This window comes from Homo sapiens, chromosome X, assembly GCF_000001405.40.
Source record: "Homo sapiens chromosome X, GRCh38.p14 Primary Assembly".
Taxonomy (NCBI): domain Eukaryota; kingdom Metazoa; phylum Chordata; class Mammalia; order Primates; family Hominidae; genus Homo; species Homo sapiens.
This window is the reverse complement of record NC_000023.11, coordinates 100,638,814-100,651,622: the sequence shown is the minus strand read 5'-3', so window position 1 is coordinate 100,651,622 and position 12,809 is coordinate 100,638,814. Positions and strand designations below refer to the sequence as shown.

The 12,809-nt window shown below is 43.9% G+C and overlaps 1 protein-coding gene across 1 annotated transcript in view, besides 2 other annotated features; it reads right to left on the bottom strand.

Moving 5' to 3' along the window:
- SRPX2 (sushi repeat containing protein X-linked 2) overlaps positions 1-7,424 on the bottom strand; it is a 31,590-nt gene extending 24,166 nt beyond the window's left edge. The window contains exons 1-3 of the mRNA NM_014467.3: positions 7,108-7,424; positions 5,219-5,430; positions 758-838 (exon numbers count right to left, since the gene is read on the bottom strand). Coding sequence (NP_055282.1) covers positions 758-838; positions 5,219-5,300 — 163 coding nt within the window. The 5' untranslated portion in view covers positions 5,301-5,430; positions 7,108-7,424. The remainder of the gene's footprint in view (positions 1-757; positions 839-5,218; positions 5,431-7,107) is intronic.
- Positions 1,477-1,771: a silencer, noted in NCBI's record as "tiled region #14263; K562 Repressive non-DNase unmatched - State 24:Quies". NCBI's record gives its function as "represses a minimal TATA promoter and a strong SV40 promoter by Sharpr-MPRA in K562 cells {active_cell/tissue: K562}" and the evidence as "EXISTENCE:reporter gene assay evidence [ECO:0000049][PMID:27701403]".
- Positions 4,137-4,431: an enhancer, noted in NCBI's record as "tiled region #6756; HepG2 Activating non-DNase unmatched - State 6:EnhF". NCBI's record gives its function as "activates a minimal TATA promoter and a strong SV40 promoter by Sharpr-MPRA in HepG2 cells {active_cell/tissue: HepG2}" and the evidence as "EXISTENCE:reporter gene assay evidence [ECO:0000049][PMID:27701403]".

Genomic DNA, 12,809 nt, shown 5'->3' with positions numbered 1-12,809 from the left:
TTTTGTTGGAGATGAGGTTTCACCATATTCGCCAGGCTGGTCTCGAACTCCTGACCTCAAGTGATCCACCTATCTCGGCCTCCCAAAATGCTGGGTTTACAAGCATGAGCCACTGCACTTGGCCTATATTTAACCTTCTTTGATACTACTCCCTCCATATTCCATTTCCTCCAATCAGGCTGGTTTCTTCTTAGCTCCCTCCTCTACCAGGTTTGTTCTTACTTCCGTATTTTTAGCCATCTGCTTTGCTGAATGCTCTCCCCTCCCCTTTCTGGTTCTCAAAATCCCACCTATCATTCTAAGCTTAGCCTAAATGTCATCTTTCATGACCCTTTTCCTGACTTCTTTTTCTTAAACCCTATTGCATTTACTGCTATGACATAGCTTCACACTTACTTGCCCTACATGTGCTAACTTTATACCCCCCCATCACCCCCAACAGAATATAAGCTACATGATGGGGACAAAACCCTATCTGAGACCTTGTATTACCCACAGGCTTACCTTGCACAGGATTAGGCATTGAGTAACTAGTCAATACTTAATGATTAATAATACATGGAGAACCTTCAGGCTGGAGAGGTGAGGTCACACAGTAAGTCAGTAACCAAGTTCATGATGAGAAATCACAGCCCCTGATTCCCTGTGCTACAGTTTTGACACATGTGAGCCAAGCCTGATGGGGATGCTTCAGGGAAGGGCCTAGGTCTGAGGCCAGAAAAGAGATTTTCTGGGCTTGAGAAGCAGGGTAGATTACCTCGGTAGTCCAGGGCAGGAGCCTGTGGGACCTCCTCTGCATATACTTCATTGTAGCTTTCATCCGGATAGTAGCCAGAACCTAGAATAAGGAAGACAATATCAAAATGGTGTCTTGATTTCTCACTCAATTCCTTCCCAACCTTCCCCCTCTCATCCAACTTTGTCACTTCCTTAGGACATGGCATTCCATGGGTGGGGAGCCAGGTGGATATTTAGTGGGGGAAATCCTGCATTGTAAGGCAGCAGAACTACTGTGGGTGAATCTCAGCACCTCAGTTGCATAGAGGGCAGGCTCATAGTTGTGGTGGCCAGTTACTGCGAGCACTGGAAGACTCCATCTAAAAGAAAAAAATTGAACCTGACCATACATCAATCCTGTCAATCTGGACTATAAATGACCCATTTCCTTGAAGCAACACATGAGTCTTGGTAAGACACTGGGGACTAATCTCTGAGAATGGACTGTGGTCCCTGATAGGAGGCAAAAACAGAACCTGTGTCTTCCCCCTAGTGACAGCCCTGCTTATGGTCCTCAAAAAAAAACAATTACTCAGGCTTCCACTAGCCCACAGGGCACAGGCCTTTTTGTCATCGGATTACCGGATTACCATTGCTGGGGGTGGCATGCCAAGGCCGAGAGGGATGACTTAAAAGGCAAGAGGAAATGAAAGCAGTTTTGTGAGCACTTTGCCCTGGTTTGGAGAACAGAGAAGGCAGAGTCCTTCGGATAAATTTCCTGTTTCTCTAATCAGAAGGAACTTTAACAGGGAGCTGCTGAGCTAGAGAACATTCCTAATCTATCTCCATCCAGTTAAGTGGCCCAGTCCCTAGTGGAGGCAGGTCTGCGGCTGTCTGGGAGACTAAACAGTATGTTCCACCAGACGGCAGGAAATCGGTCATGAATACGAACTAATTGGAAAACAACTTGGTCCTTTCCGGAGTGAAGTTTCCGGAAGCCCTCCTTCCAGCCTCCCTGAGCCCTAATGCATGCACAGGAATAGGGTAGCCAGCTGTTTTGGAGTCAAGAGACAATTCCCTATTTCCAGGAGAGGGTGTGCTTCCAGGACAGGGCTGGGTTTTAGTGCTGGAGCCCTTTGGCCTGTGTAAATACTCAGGCCACAAGCTCGCCTCCTCCTCTTGGGAAGAGGCACAGGGCCCCCTGCACTGAAGGGCGGAGCAGAGGGCCAGATGATGAAGCTCCTCCATTCCCCACAGGCCCAGACTAGGGGTGGGGGAGGTGAGGTATTGGGAAACCAGTCCAACTTGGTGAACAAGGGAATGAATCAATTGAAAGTTTGCCTTATGAAATCATGTCCTCGTTGGTTTGCCCTCATTCCAGAGGAAAGAGTTCATTTTTTCTTTTTCCCCTTTTTCTTTTTTTCTGTTTTCCCATTTCAGTTCTTCTTCTGGCTTCCGTTGATTTCTTCTCAGACCTCATCTCCCCTGCTCTCTTTTTTCCCATAATGGGAGGTTTCTTTGGTGGGTGCGGGGGAGTCGGGGGGCGGGTCATGGAATTTTTGTCAGCTGTTTCAGTTCAGTATTAGCCTCAAAGCTTTATAGGTCCTGTAAACAGGAGGCCAGATGTGGGTGATTCCCTAAAGTATTAGGTCTTCCTGCTCCGGTTACAGAGCCAGCTTTTGAAGACATGCTCAGCAGGGAGCAAAGGACTGTTTAACAGAAGAGAAAACAGGAGTGTCAGGAGTGTCAGAGCCCTGTGGCTTGGTAACAGTAACAACAACAAGAACAACTACGACAATGACTGCTAACATCTCTCAGCTCATATTCTGTGTTAAGCACATTACATATGTTAGTTCATTATGTCACCATAACATGTCAGCAGGGTAGGTACTACTAATGTGCTCCAATATAAAGCCGAAGAAACAGGCTTGAGGAACCAAGAGAACCAAGGTCTCCCAGCTAGTAAGCAGCAGAGTGGGCATTCCAGCCCAGGTCTGCTTGACCCCCTAGATACCAAACTCAGACACTCCACTGAAGATGGTGATTAGGGAAGAGCTTTTGATAATGTCCAACTGGGGTAAAAGTCCAAAATCTCTTTTGCAATCCAGCTTTTTTACTGTGTGTGTGGGATCGAAGGCCACCAAGCATTTTACATCATTCCAGAATTACAAGGGATGTAGGAAAACTGTGGGGAAGACTCAATAAGATAATTACAGTCTCCATCAGGGTGCGGAAGTAGCTGGACCAGTGCCAACTATGCTTTGTGTGGAGAAAGGGTTCAGACCATCTTGCCACTTTAAACCTTTCCATTTTCCCATTTCCCCTCTTTGCCTATCTTTGAGTTTTTTTTCTTTTTTGCAAATGGTGGAATACTAAGATGGGTATAAGAATGAAATTAAAGGGGAACATTTCCTACATTATTCTGTCTGCTTGTCCCTCTTCAGCCCTGGGGGAAGGACTTGGGGAGCATTCCTCAGTTCCTTTAGATCAATCAGTGCTTGGTTACTGTGTGGTCTGTTACTGGGTTCCTCCAACCTCCATAGTACAGTCAGGCCCTCTAAGCACTGCCCTTCACAAAAGTATAGTTAGACATGTAATTGATAGTTAAAAGACTATCTTAAGATTCATATTAATCCTTGGCTTATGATGACAAATACAGTCTGACTTTCTGGGCTGCACAGATATGCCAGAACACACTTTTAACCCATTCTTTGCTTTATTTATATTCTTAACTTTTCCCAGCCACTGCTGATTATTCCTGGACCCTTTTTCTGATTAGCCCTGGATCCACATTTGGCTGCTATTCTGTGCCATGCCCATTTGAAGACAAGGCTGTACAAGTAAACAAAACTGTCCTGGATGCATAAAGAGTCCTCAATAAATATTTGTTGAAGGAATGAATGAACAAAGGCATGAAGGCAAGCCCAACAGCTGAGCTAGCAGTGTAGGGGAAATGTCTCTCATCATGTGGCCTCCTAAGGATAGAAGAGGGAAGAATGAGTGGAATTGCAGGGCTGGCAGAGGCCTCACCAATCTGAGCTTCTCAGGAGTGGTGACTTGTGATTCACGTGGAAGTGGGGTGTTCCACCTTTGCAAATAGCCCTTTGAGAACCTCAACTGAATCTAACTTTTAAAAAACTGCTCTGTGCTCACGCCTCCAACAGCTCAGGCTTCTGTTTTGGGAAAGGTAAAGACCTTTGCATGCCATGAGGTTTCATACAGGTGTTCAGAATTGGGCTTCGAGCCATCTAATCTCCACTCCTTTAGTCCTGTGGTCTTTGGCTGGATTTTGGTCTCTGTAAATGAACTGAAGCAAGGGGAGGTTGGGGAGGACAGTTGCATATTTATCTCCTGGAGACTTGAGGCACCTTTAACCCCAAACAGGATATGCTCTGCCAAGGGCTTGACTTGAATTTTTTCATCTCAATGTCAGTCCTTGTGCTTCACCCCCTACAAAGCCAGGTTAAGCCAAAAAGGGGAAGAAGTTTGCATATTTGTTTGAAAGCTTGATGCAGCTGTTCCAGACAAACAGAGCTACTGCCAAAGGCCTCCACCAGGAGCTAAGGGCATGTGGAAAATTTTAGCTGCAGGGACTGTGGCTGTGATGGGAGCAGTTTGTTATTTACTCATCTCTGGATATTTTCCTAACCCCATTGGTTGGGTCTGTCTCCTTCCCCCACTACTCCCCACGGGCCCCTGTGAGGGCAGACACTGCAGGCCACAGAATATTCTTAGCACTTGGAATGCCAGCTGGGCCCCATATAAAACCTCTGTATGCCACTTCATTATCCTGCCCTCATCCCTTCCCCCTCCCCTTTCCCTCTTCTCACTGAGTTTGTTCTCTGGCTCTCTGGGTGAAGAGTGAAATATTCAGGAATCCAGAAATCTCCATCCCTTCTGAAGTAAAGAACAAATGAGAAGAAACTGGGAAATTCCTGATTAAAAGGATGTGATCTGTATTGCCACTAACAGCTTTGGCATAAAAGGGCTATAAAAAATCTCATTTTATAAATAAGATCAGAGAGGGTGGGAAGAAGTCTGATGGATTCTCATTTCACTTGAATAGATTGCCTGCCCCCCTTATTTTTTCCAAATGAGGTATGTGGTCTAAGTCCATTTTTGTGGTCTTGACAAGAGTATTTGACTCATAAAAGAATTAATATTAATAAAGATTTGACTCATAAAGGATTTCATGTTAGAAAATGGTTTTCAGGAAGCTAAGTGCACAAGCAGGTGAGACAATGGCCTCAAAGGTGATGTCCAACCTTCTCATGTTTGTACTAGTGTGGCCTATTTCACCTATTTCAAATAGCTCTTGTTAGGCTGCCTTAAAAGCCTCCCTTGGTAGTCTGTTGCCATGTTTAACCATCTTTATTGTCCTTTAATACTTCTCTGTATAGAAAATAAGTGTCTCTTTTTGTAGTCTAACTCTTCCTTCTCCAAGTCTTGGTCTAGGACCTATCCTTCCTGGAAATAATAGGCAACAGCTCCTAGAACTTACCTGCATACCATGTTGGTGTCACTGCCGGAGTTAGGAAGAACAGCAGAAAGAGAGCTCCTCTTTGAGTTAGCTGACTGGCCATCCTTGAAAGGGAGGATTATGGAGACAAGAAAAGATGTATATGGCCTGAAGTACCAGGGCAAAGGAAAGTGACTTTCAGAAGTCAGCCATCAATTAACTTCTAAAAGTGAGGGGAAGCAGAAATATGGGATCTGTGAGGAAGAAGAGAGATTTTATAATTAATGAATGCCTTTTATATTATCTCCCTCATAAGGATCTTTCATGTTATAGAATAACAAGACTCTGTTTGTTATTTATGGTCCCTTTTCCTCCCAGGAGGAGGAGGATGTAAAACAACCAATCTTCATCTGACTCTGGTGGGATCAGATGCAAATGCTTCATGGTCCAAGTTATAGAGAGGGACATTGAAGTACTGAGACCAGGAAAAGGCCAACATGAAGTTACACAGAACCAGGAGGGAACCTGGTGACCTAAAGGCTGCCATTAGGTTTCATTCATTCAACTAACATTTCCTAGCCACTAATCTGGGAAAGCGTTAGCATATGTGGTCTAAGAATTTGAACACTGAAGTTACACAGGTCTGGATGTGAATCCAATTCTGTCACCTATTAGCTATAGGGTCTTGGACAAATTTTTTAACTTCTCTAAGCCTCGGTTTCCTCATCTATAAAATGGGAATAATAATACTGTCTACCTCATGAATTGATTATTGTCTGTCATATAGGGAAGTAATTTATATATTAGACAATATTATTACCAACTTTGTATTGGACAGGACTGAATGTTTCCCTTCTCTAGTGTCCCAGGCAGTAACTGGACTCTGGCTCTGTTCTTAGCTTTGGGTTTTAAGGCTTGGTGGTTTGGTAGTGGCTTCTGGCTTTCAAGTCCAGCCTAACCCTCTAGTTTTACCTTGCTGAGCCAGCAGGAAGTCAGCGAGGTAGAGGAGGACCTGCTGAGGTACATGAGGAGAGGGTGAACAAGCTCCAATTGCCCTCTCACTTCCTCCCCTGTCCTCACCCTAATGGGACGAGAGTTTTGTGGTTCCCAGCGGGCAAATACTTTGTAAATGACAGTATTAAAACTTGCTGCCCATTGGTATAAATTGGCCACTGGGCATTTCAGCAAGCACCCATTCACTCACGGGCTTTCAATGAAATGCCATGCTCAGGGGAGGAGTCAGTCCTAGAAATAGAGAAACAAAAATGTGGTAGATTCTGGCCAGAGTCCCTAAGGGACATGCAAAGCCCAAGAAAGGGAAAAGTGTATTTTTTAGTTCATTGCTACTTGGCTTCAGATTTTGTCTAGAAAGTGACAGGGAAGCAGGACGGAGAAAAAGTGAGAGTAAACGAAGGAGGCAAGGGAAGTAGAAAGATGTGGGAAGGAAGGAAAGAAAATCTGACAGAGCTGAAGGAAAGAGATAGATAAACGCAGAAAGAGGCAACAAAAGGAGCAGAAAGAGGAGATTAAAGAGAGGTCCAGGAAGTGAACATTAGATAACTAATCACTGACCCCTCTCCCACATCTAGCCTCCATCCAGTTCCTTCGTTCTGGAGCAGAGGCATTCCTTTTTCAGATCCCTGAACCTGTGACCTCGTACCTGCCCAGCTTCTCCCCAATCTCAGGCTTAATACTTGACTCACCAGAGTCAACCATCCCATCCCTCTGCTGTGGGCTGAGAAGTTGCTGGGAACATGTGTTTGCAGTCAGGTCACGGCACAAATGAAAAGCAGCATATGATCCAGCTTCATAAAAGAACTTCCCCCCGACCTCCACCCCCAGCCATGTTGCCCAAGTTCTGGGTCTCCTTATCCCCTTCACAATTGTGAATTGGGGTAGTGGAGTGTGGAGGGGTTAGTTGCAGATCTTACCTGTTTTATGGTATTTTGTGCCCTTTTTCTCTCTCCTCCTCTTTCTCCTTCCTCTCTGCTCCTCTCATCAATTGGAAAAAACCTTCTACTTTAACATTCCTAGAACGAGTGGCTCCTGGTCTGTCCCGGCCTCCGGGATTCTGTTAACACTGCCCAGATGTTACGACGTCCACATCTGCCAAAAGTTTCCTTAAAGCTATATTATCCCTGAAGCTATAGTTATTCCTCTCTCAGAGAAGGGTTTTAGAAAGATGGGGGAGAAGGAACACAGGGATTAGAGGAACTCAGTCCGTCTGCTGCAGAAGAGGGGGAAGTGTGAATGGCACTGGCTCCAAGCCTGTGAATATAGTGATGACTAACACAGAGGCTGGCTTAAGCGGCCTCCAGAGATGTGTTGCACTGAAGAACACTTCTTTTTATGACTCAGCATGACATAAGAATTGAATGAAAAGGAATTTCATAAACACTCACAAACACCAAAGAGAGGGGAAGACTGTAGCTGACTTTGACATTCCCTAAGATTTCTCCTGTAATTCCTTAGACTCCCAACTCTGAACTGTCTTGCAATCTATATGGTATCACGTCAGATACGCTTTGAAACCCTCATGCCAGTGACCTAACTTCTCTGGACTTCAGTTTCTGTTAAGATTATATTGTTTACAAAAAAAACACAAAAAACAAAAAACAAAAAACATGTACTTCTTGCCCGAAGGATCAAGACTGATTTCCCACACTAAGAATGGAGGGAAAGCATGCCTGGAGAGGCTTTACTGGGAGGCTGTTTGAGCAAATCTAGCTGCTTCCCAGTGGTCTCTGATGGAGGGCTACATTTCACTCAGCAAGATTTTTTCATTTTAGTATCTGATAATGAGACTATTCTGCCATAGCACAGAGCAGCTACTTACAATCTCCCTCCCCTCACGGTTGACATTTCCATCTCTTGGAAAATCAGTGGTTATAGAAGGAAGAATTTTAAGCTGTTGTAGAAAGGGTGTTTCTCCTGTGTATGCAAGCAAATTGGTAACCCCTTCTCAGTCATAAGGGGAAGAATTGTACTTATGAGAATACAAAGTTCAAAAGCAAGCCTGAGCCTGCTTCATTTCCAATTCACCTGTGACAAATATGTATTGAGTGTCTACCATTTGCTTAACAGTGTAATAGCTACGTAAAGAAGATGTGGCTGGGCGCGGCGACTCACGCCTATAATCCCAGTACTTTGGGAGGCCGAGGTGGGCAGATCACGAGGTCAGGAGTTCGAGATCGGCCTGGCCAACATGGTGAAACCCCGTTTCTACTAAATACAAAAAAAAATTAGCCGGGCGTGGTGGTGCACGCCTGTAATCCTAGCTACCCAGGAGGTTGAGGCAGGAGAATTGCTTGAACCCAGGAGGCAGAGGTTGCAGTGAGCTGAGATCACGCCACTGCACTCCAGCCTGGGCGAGGGAGTGAGACTCCGTCTCAGAAGAAAAAAAAGAAGAAGAAGAAGACGTGATCGTCATGGCCTTATTCATTCCATAAATTTATCAAGTATCTACCATGTCAAGAGTGGTGGATGTAGTGGTGAACAAGACAGACAAAATCCCAGGCATTGTAATCCATAATTAATTCAACAAATACTTGTTGAGCATCCATTATGTGCCACATATGGTTCTAGGTATTTGAGAAACATCAGTGAACAAAATGGACAAAAATCCCTGCCCTCATGGAACAGAGGAGACAGACATCAAACAAGCATGTTCTTAATTACAATTGTGTGTGTTTAGGGAATCTTTACTGGTCATCTACTATAAGCTAAGCACTGCAGATACAGTGGTGAGCAAGTAATGTGTGATTCTTGATCTTATGGAGCTTACTCTCCAGCTCCCAGAGTTTATGTTTAGTAGGGGAGAGAAGAGGGACACAATCAATTAGAAAACAATACAACTCCCTACCGTAATAGACTGCCAAAAGCTGTGTTACAGACTTTAAGGACGCTAGGAGGAAGTCAGAGGAGGGGGTCACCTGAGAAGAGGTGGGCCTTGGTCTAGCCTCAGGCAAAGGAAATGCCATCAACAAGAGTTCACCTTTAGGTCAGAGGAGGGAGAGGCTAACTGCTAAGAGGTTTCAGGGAAAGATAGAAAACAAAGCTGAATAAATAGGGTAGGGCCAGAAAATCAGATATAGGAGTTTATTTTAAACTCGTGTGTGAGAAAATAGTGAATATATTAAATGTGTGTGTCTGTGTGTTTGAGTATGTGAGAGTGTGTGTGTGTGTGTGTGTGTGTGAGAGAGAGAGAGAGAGAGAGAGAGAGAGAGGAATATGAGAGAGAGAGGGAACAAGCAAAGTAATACATTCTACCAGAGTTTTTTCTTTCTTAGACCCCCCTCACTGGCTCCCTCTTGGCATAGTGTACGGTCTGAGTTCCTTAGCATTGCATACCATGTTCTTCACAAGCAAACCCCACCTATGTCCTTAGCCTAGTTTTAAGCATTCACCCCATGCCTCCTCATTCTGGACACCCTCTGCCTCATGCTCTTCCTTGAGCTTCTTGTTCTTCCTTTCACACCCTGGAGCCTCTGCACAGACGTGTTCACTCTGCTCCATGGTCCCTTCCCTCCTTTCTTGGCTTGTTGGAACTCTACCCACCCTTGCTGCTAGGAACCTTCCCCCAGCCCATCCCAGCCCAAGATGGTTAACTTTGCCTTCCTTTTCTCTCACAGCACTTTGTACATATCTCAATTTTAGGACTTTTCACACTTATTGGCATTGTTCTTTACTTATCTCTGACTCCTACTAGACTATGAGTGCTTATAAGGGCAAGAACCTTATCCTAGTCTTCTTCATATCCCCAGCCATCCAACACAAAGCCTAGCACATGCCAGGGTGAAGATGCTGCGTAAGGCCTCAATCCCACTGAAAGCTGGAAGCAGTGGGACAGAAGGGTTCCAGAGAGAGGTTAAAGAAGAAAGTGAAGGGGGAGAATATGGAAATCATAGGGAGATCAAAGTAAGGGGATATGTCAGAAGAGAGAGACAGCATTCTTGCAAAGCATTGGGATTAATAATATAAAGAGCTCACCCAAAACAAGTGAGGTTAATTATAATAACCCCAATGTTTCTGCAGCACATACTCAGTGTGTAAAACACAACGTTAGATACTGTGAGGCTACAAAGTAAAATAAAACACCTCTCTTTATGGTTTGGTTGGGAGGATAAGACAAAGGTGGATAAGGAGACTGACAGCATCCAGGCATACTCAATTTCTTAAGTTTCTTAAAGTTCAGTACCATTTTCAACTTTAAGACTTTTAATATGAAGCCCCTCAGCAGTAAATAAGGTATTGTTTTACGAAATATTAGATATGGAAACTGACTTCCCTAGTTGAGATCTCAGGAAAGCTCAACAAGGCTAGACTAGAAACAACTTTCTTAGAAAATGGACATAGAATTGTCAATTTTAATACCATTTAAAAGTATTTATGGCTGGGCGCGGAGGCTCACGCCTGTAATCCCAGCACTTTGGGAGGCCGAGGCAGGCGAATCACAAGGTCAGGAGATCGAGACCATCCTGTCTAACACGGTGAAACCCCGTCTCTACTAAAAATACAAAAAATTAGCCGGGCGTGGTATCGGGCACCTGTAGTCCCAGCTACTCGGGAAGCTGAGACCAGAGAATGGCATGAACCCGGGAGGTGGAGCTTGCAGTGAGCCGAGATGGCACCACTGCACTCCAGCCTGGGCGACAGAGCGAGACTCCGTCTCAAAAAAAAAAAAAGTATTTATCATGTCTATGTGTCCCAAACTGTATATTATGAGCTTTTTTGAAGAAGGCAAGATCAGGGATGGAAAGGGAGGAAAGGTTTCACAGAGCATCTGAAAGGAGTGGATGGAAAACAAGGGCATAAAAATAGACAAAGAATAGAATTTCAGAGAAGGAGAATGGGAATGCACAAGAGACAATAGAAATAAAGAGATATTCCATTAACGAAATGGATTTTTAAAACTGTACATATGAATTAACTGTTTAAATAATGAGGTATCTGATGGCTGTAACATAAAATATGAGATATTAAGAAAATAAGTAGGATGCGCCTTTAAATTCTATGATAGGCACTTAGCCAAAGGTAATTGAAGGGATGCTAGAAAAGGGATTAGAAAATGAAAATGGTAAAGTTATTATGTGAATAAGAGATAAGATGTACACTCAGCGATACAGTTTATTATTATTATTATTGTTGTTGTTATTATTTTAGTGGTTCCTGAGAGAGAGAGGAATGTCCCAAGACATTATCTAGGTACTCAATTTAATTTTTTCTGTTTTATTATAGTGTGATACTGGGATGGCTTAGACATTTAATTTTTTATTTAATTTCAACAATCAATCCTGAGTAATTACTATGTGGTTGCTCCCAGAGACCAGTTATGACCTCAATGAGCAATCAGCTCAACAGGGATTGGCCGAGCAGAAAATGAACTCATCAATTGGGCATTATGTCCTAGGGTACTGAGGAGAGTATAAAAGGGGGCATAGGGGCCCTGCCACACTAGCTCTTCAGTAGTTTCTGAACATCTAGACGGTAGGATGTAGAATAGGTAAGTAGAAATGCAAAGCAGATATTGCAGTAATTGACTAAAGGGCTGGGTTAATGGGAGTGAGTGTGTAGTTAAGACAGTTATGGTGTTAGAGAAAGAGGTGAGGAAGGAGGGACTTTTTACTGAGTTGGGATTGAACTGGATATTCAGTAGAAGCAGAAAGTATGAGTGAAGTTGAGGGTGGGCAGGGACTAGGGAATAGGACTTGTTTAATTGGGGGGTTGATCATACTGACCTGGTACAGAGCAGAAAATTCACATTGGAAAAGCAGTAGGAAATCAGTTGAGATTGTATTGGGATGAGGGGCTTGGTAGGGATGGAGGGAGGCTGGAGGTGGCACAAGGGAGGTCTGACTTAACAGTGAGCCCTTGTTTATGTCATTTCCCTTGCCTGATGTCTAGCAATGAAAAACATTTACACCTAATCTTGAAGGTTACAGGAAATTAATTGGGAAGGGGGGCTACTAAATGTTCCATGTAAAACAAGCAGTAACAATACTTAAAGTATTTTCCTTTTTTCCTACATTGTTGGCATCAAATTGTGTTTCTGTGCTCAGAAAGAGGGAGAAATTAAGAGGTTGAACAAGAAAAAGTACTGAACTCTCTGCCTTACCACTCTGGGGCAGGTAGGGTTACTTCCTAGGTGGCTGGGCTATTGGAGTGAAGGCAAAAGCCAAACTCAACCAAAAAACCCCAAGTGCAAGGCAGAATTGGGGCAATCATTGAGGTTCTTAAGCTTCAGAGGCTCCGAGGAGTCCTTGTTTTAGGTTAAATGTCTGTGCAACAGCAGTCTTTACTCAGGTTACTCTGCGCAGAGGCAGCTGTACGTACAACAGCAGCTATGTTTCATCACAAAGTGGGCCCCATTTCTGATGAAAGACACAGAAGTTGCCCAGGTTTAGTCCTAGGCAGCTTACTTGGTCTCTTTCAACCTGTTTCTTCATCTGTAAAATGAAGGTGCTAGGTGTGTCAACCTCATAATAGGGTTCTTGTGATGTGTGCATACGAGGTAATGTGTATCAAGCTCTTAGCAATAGTGGTTGGTATACAGTCAATACTTATTATCACAGTCATTATTAATACTTTAAAGAATACATTTATCTAGTGGCCTAGGGAAATACTTCTTAAATTG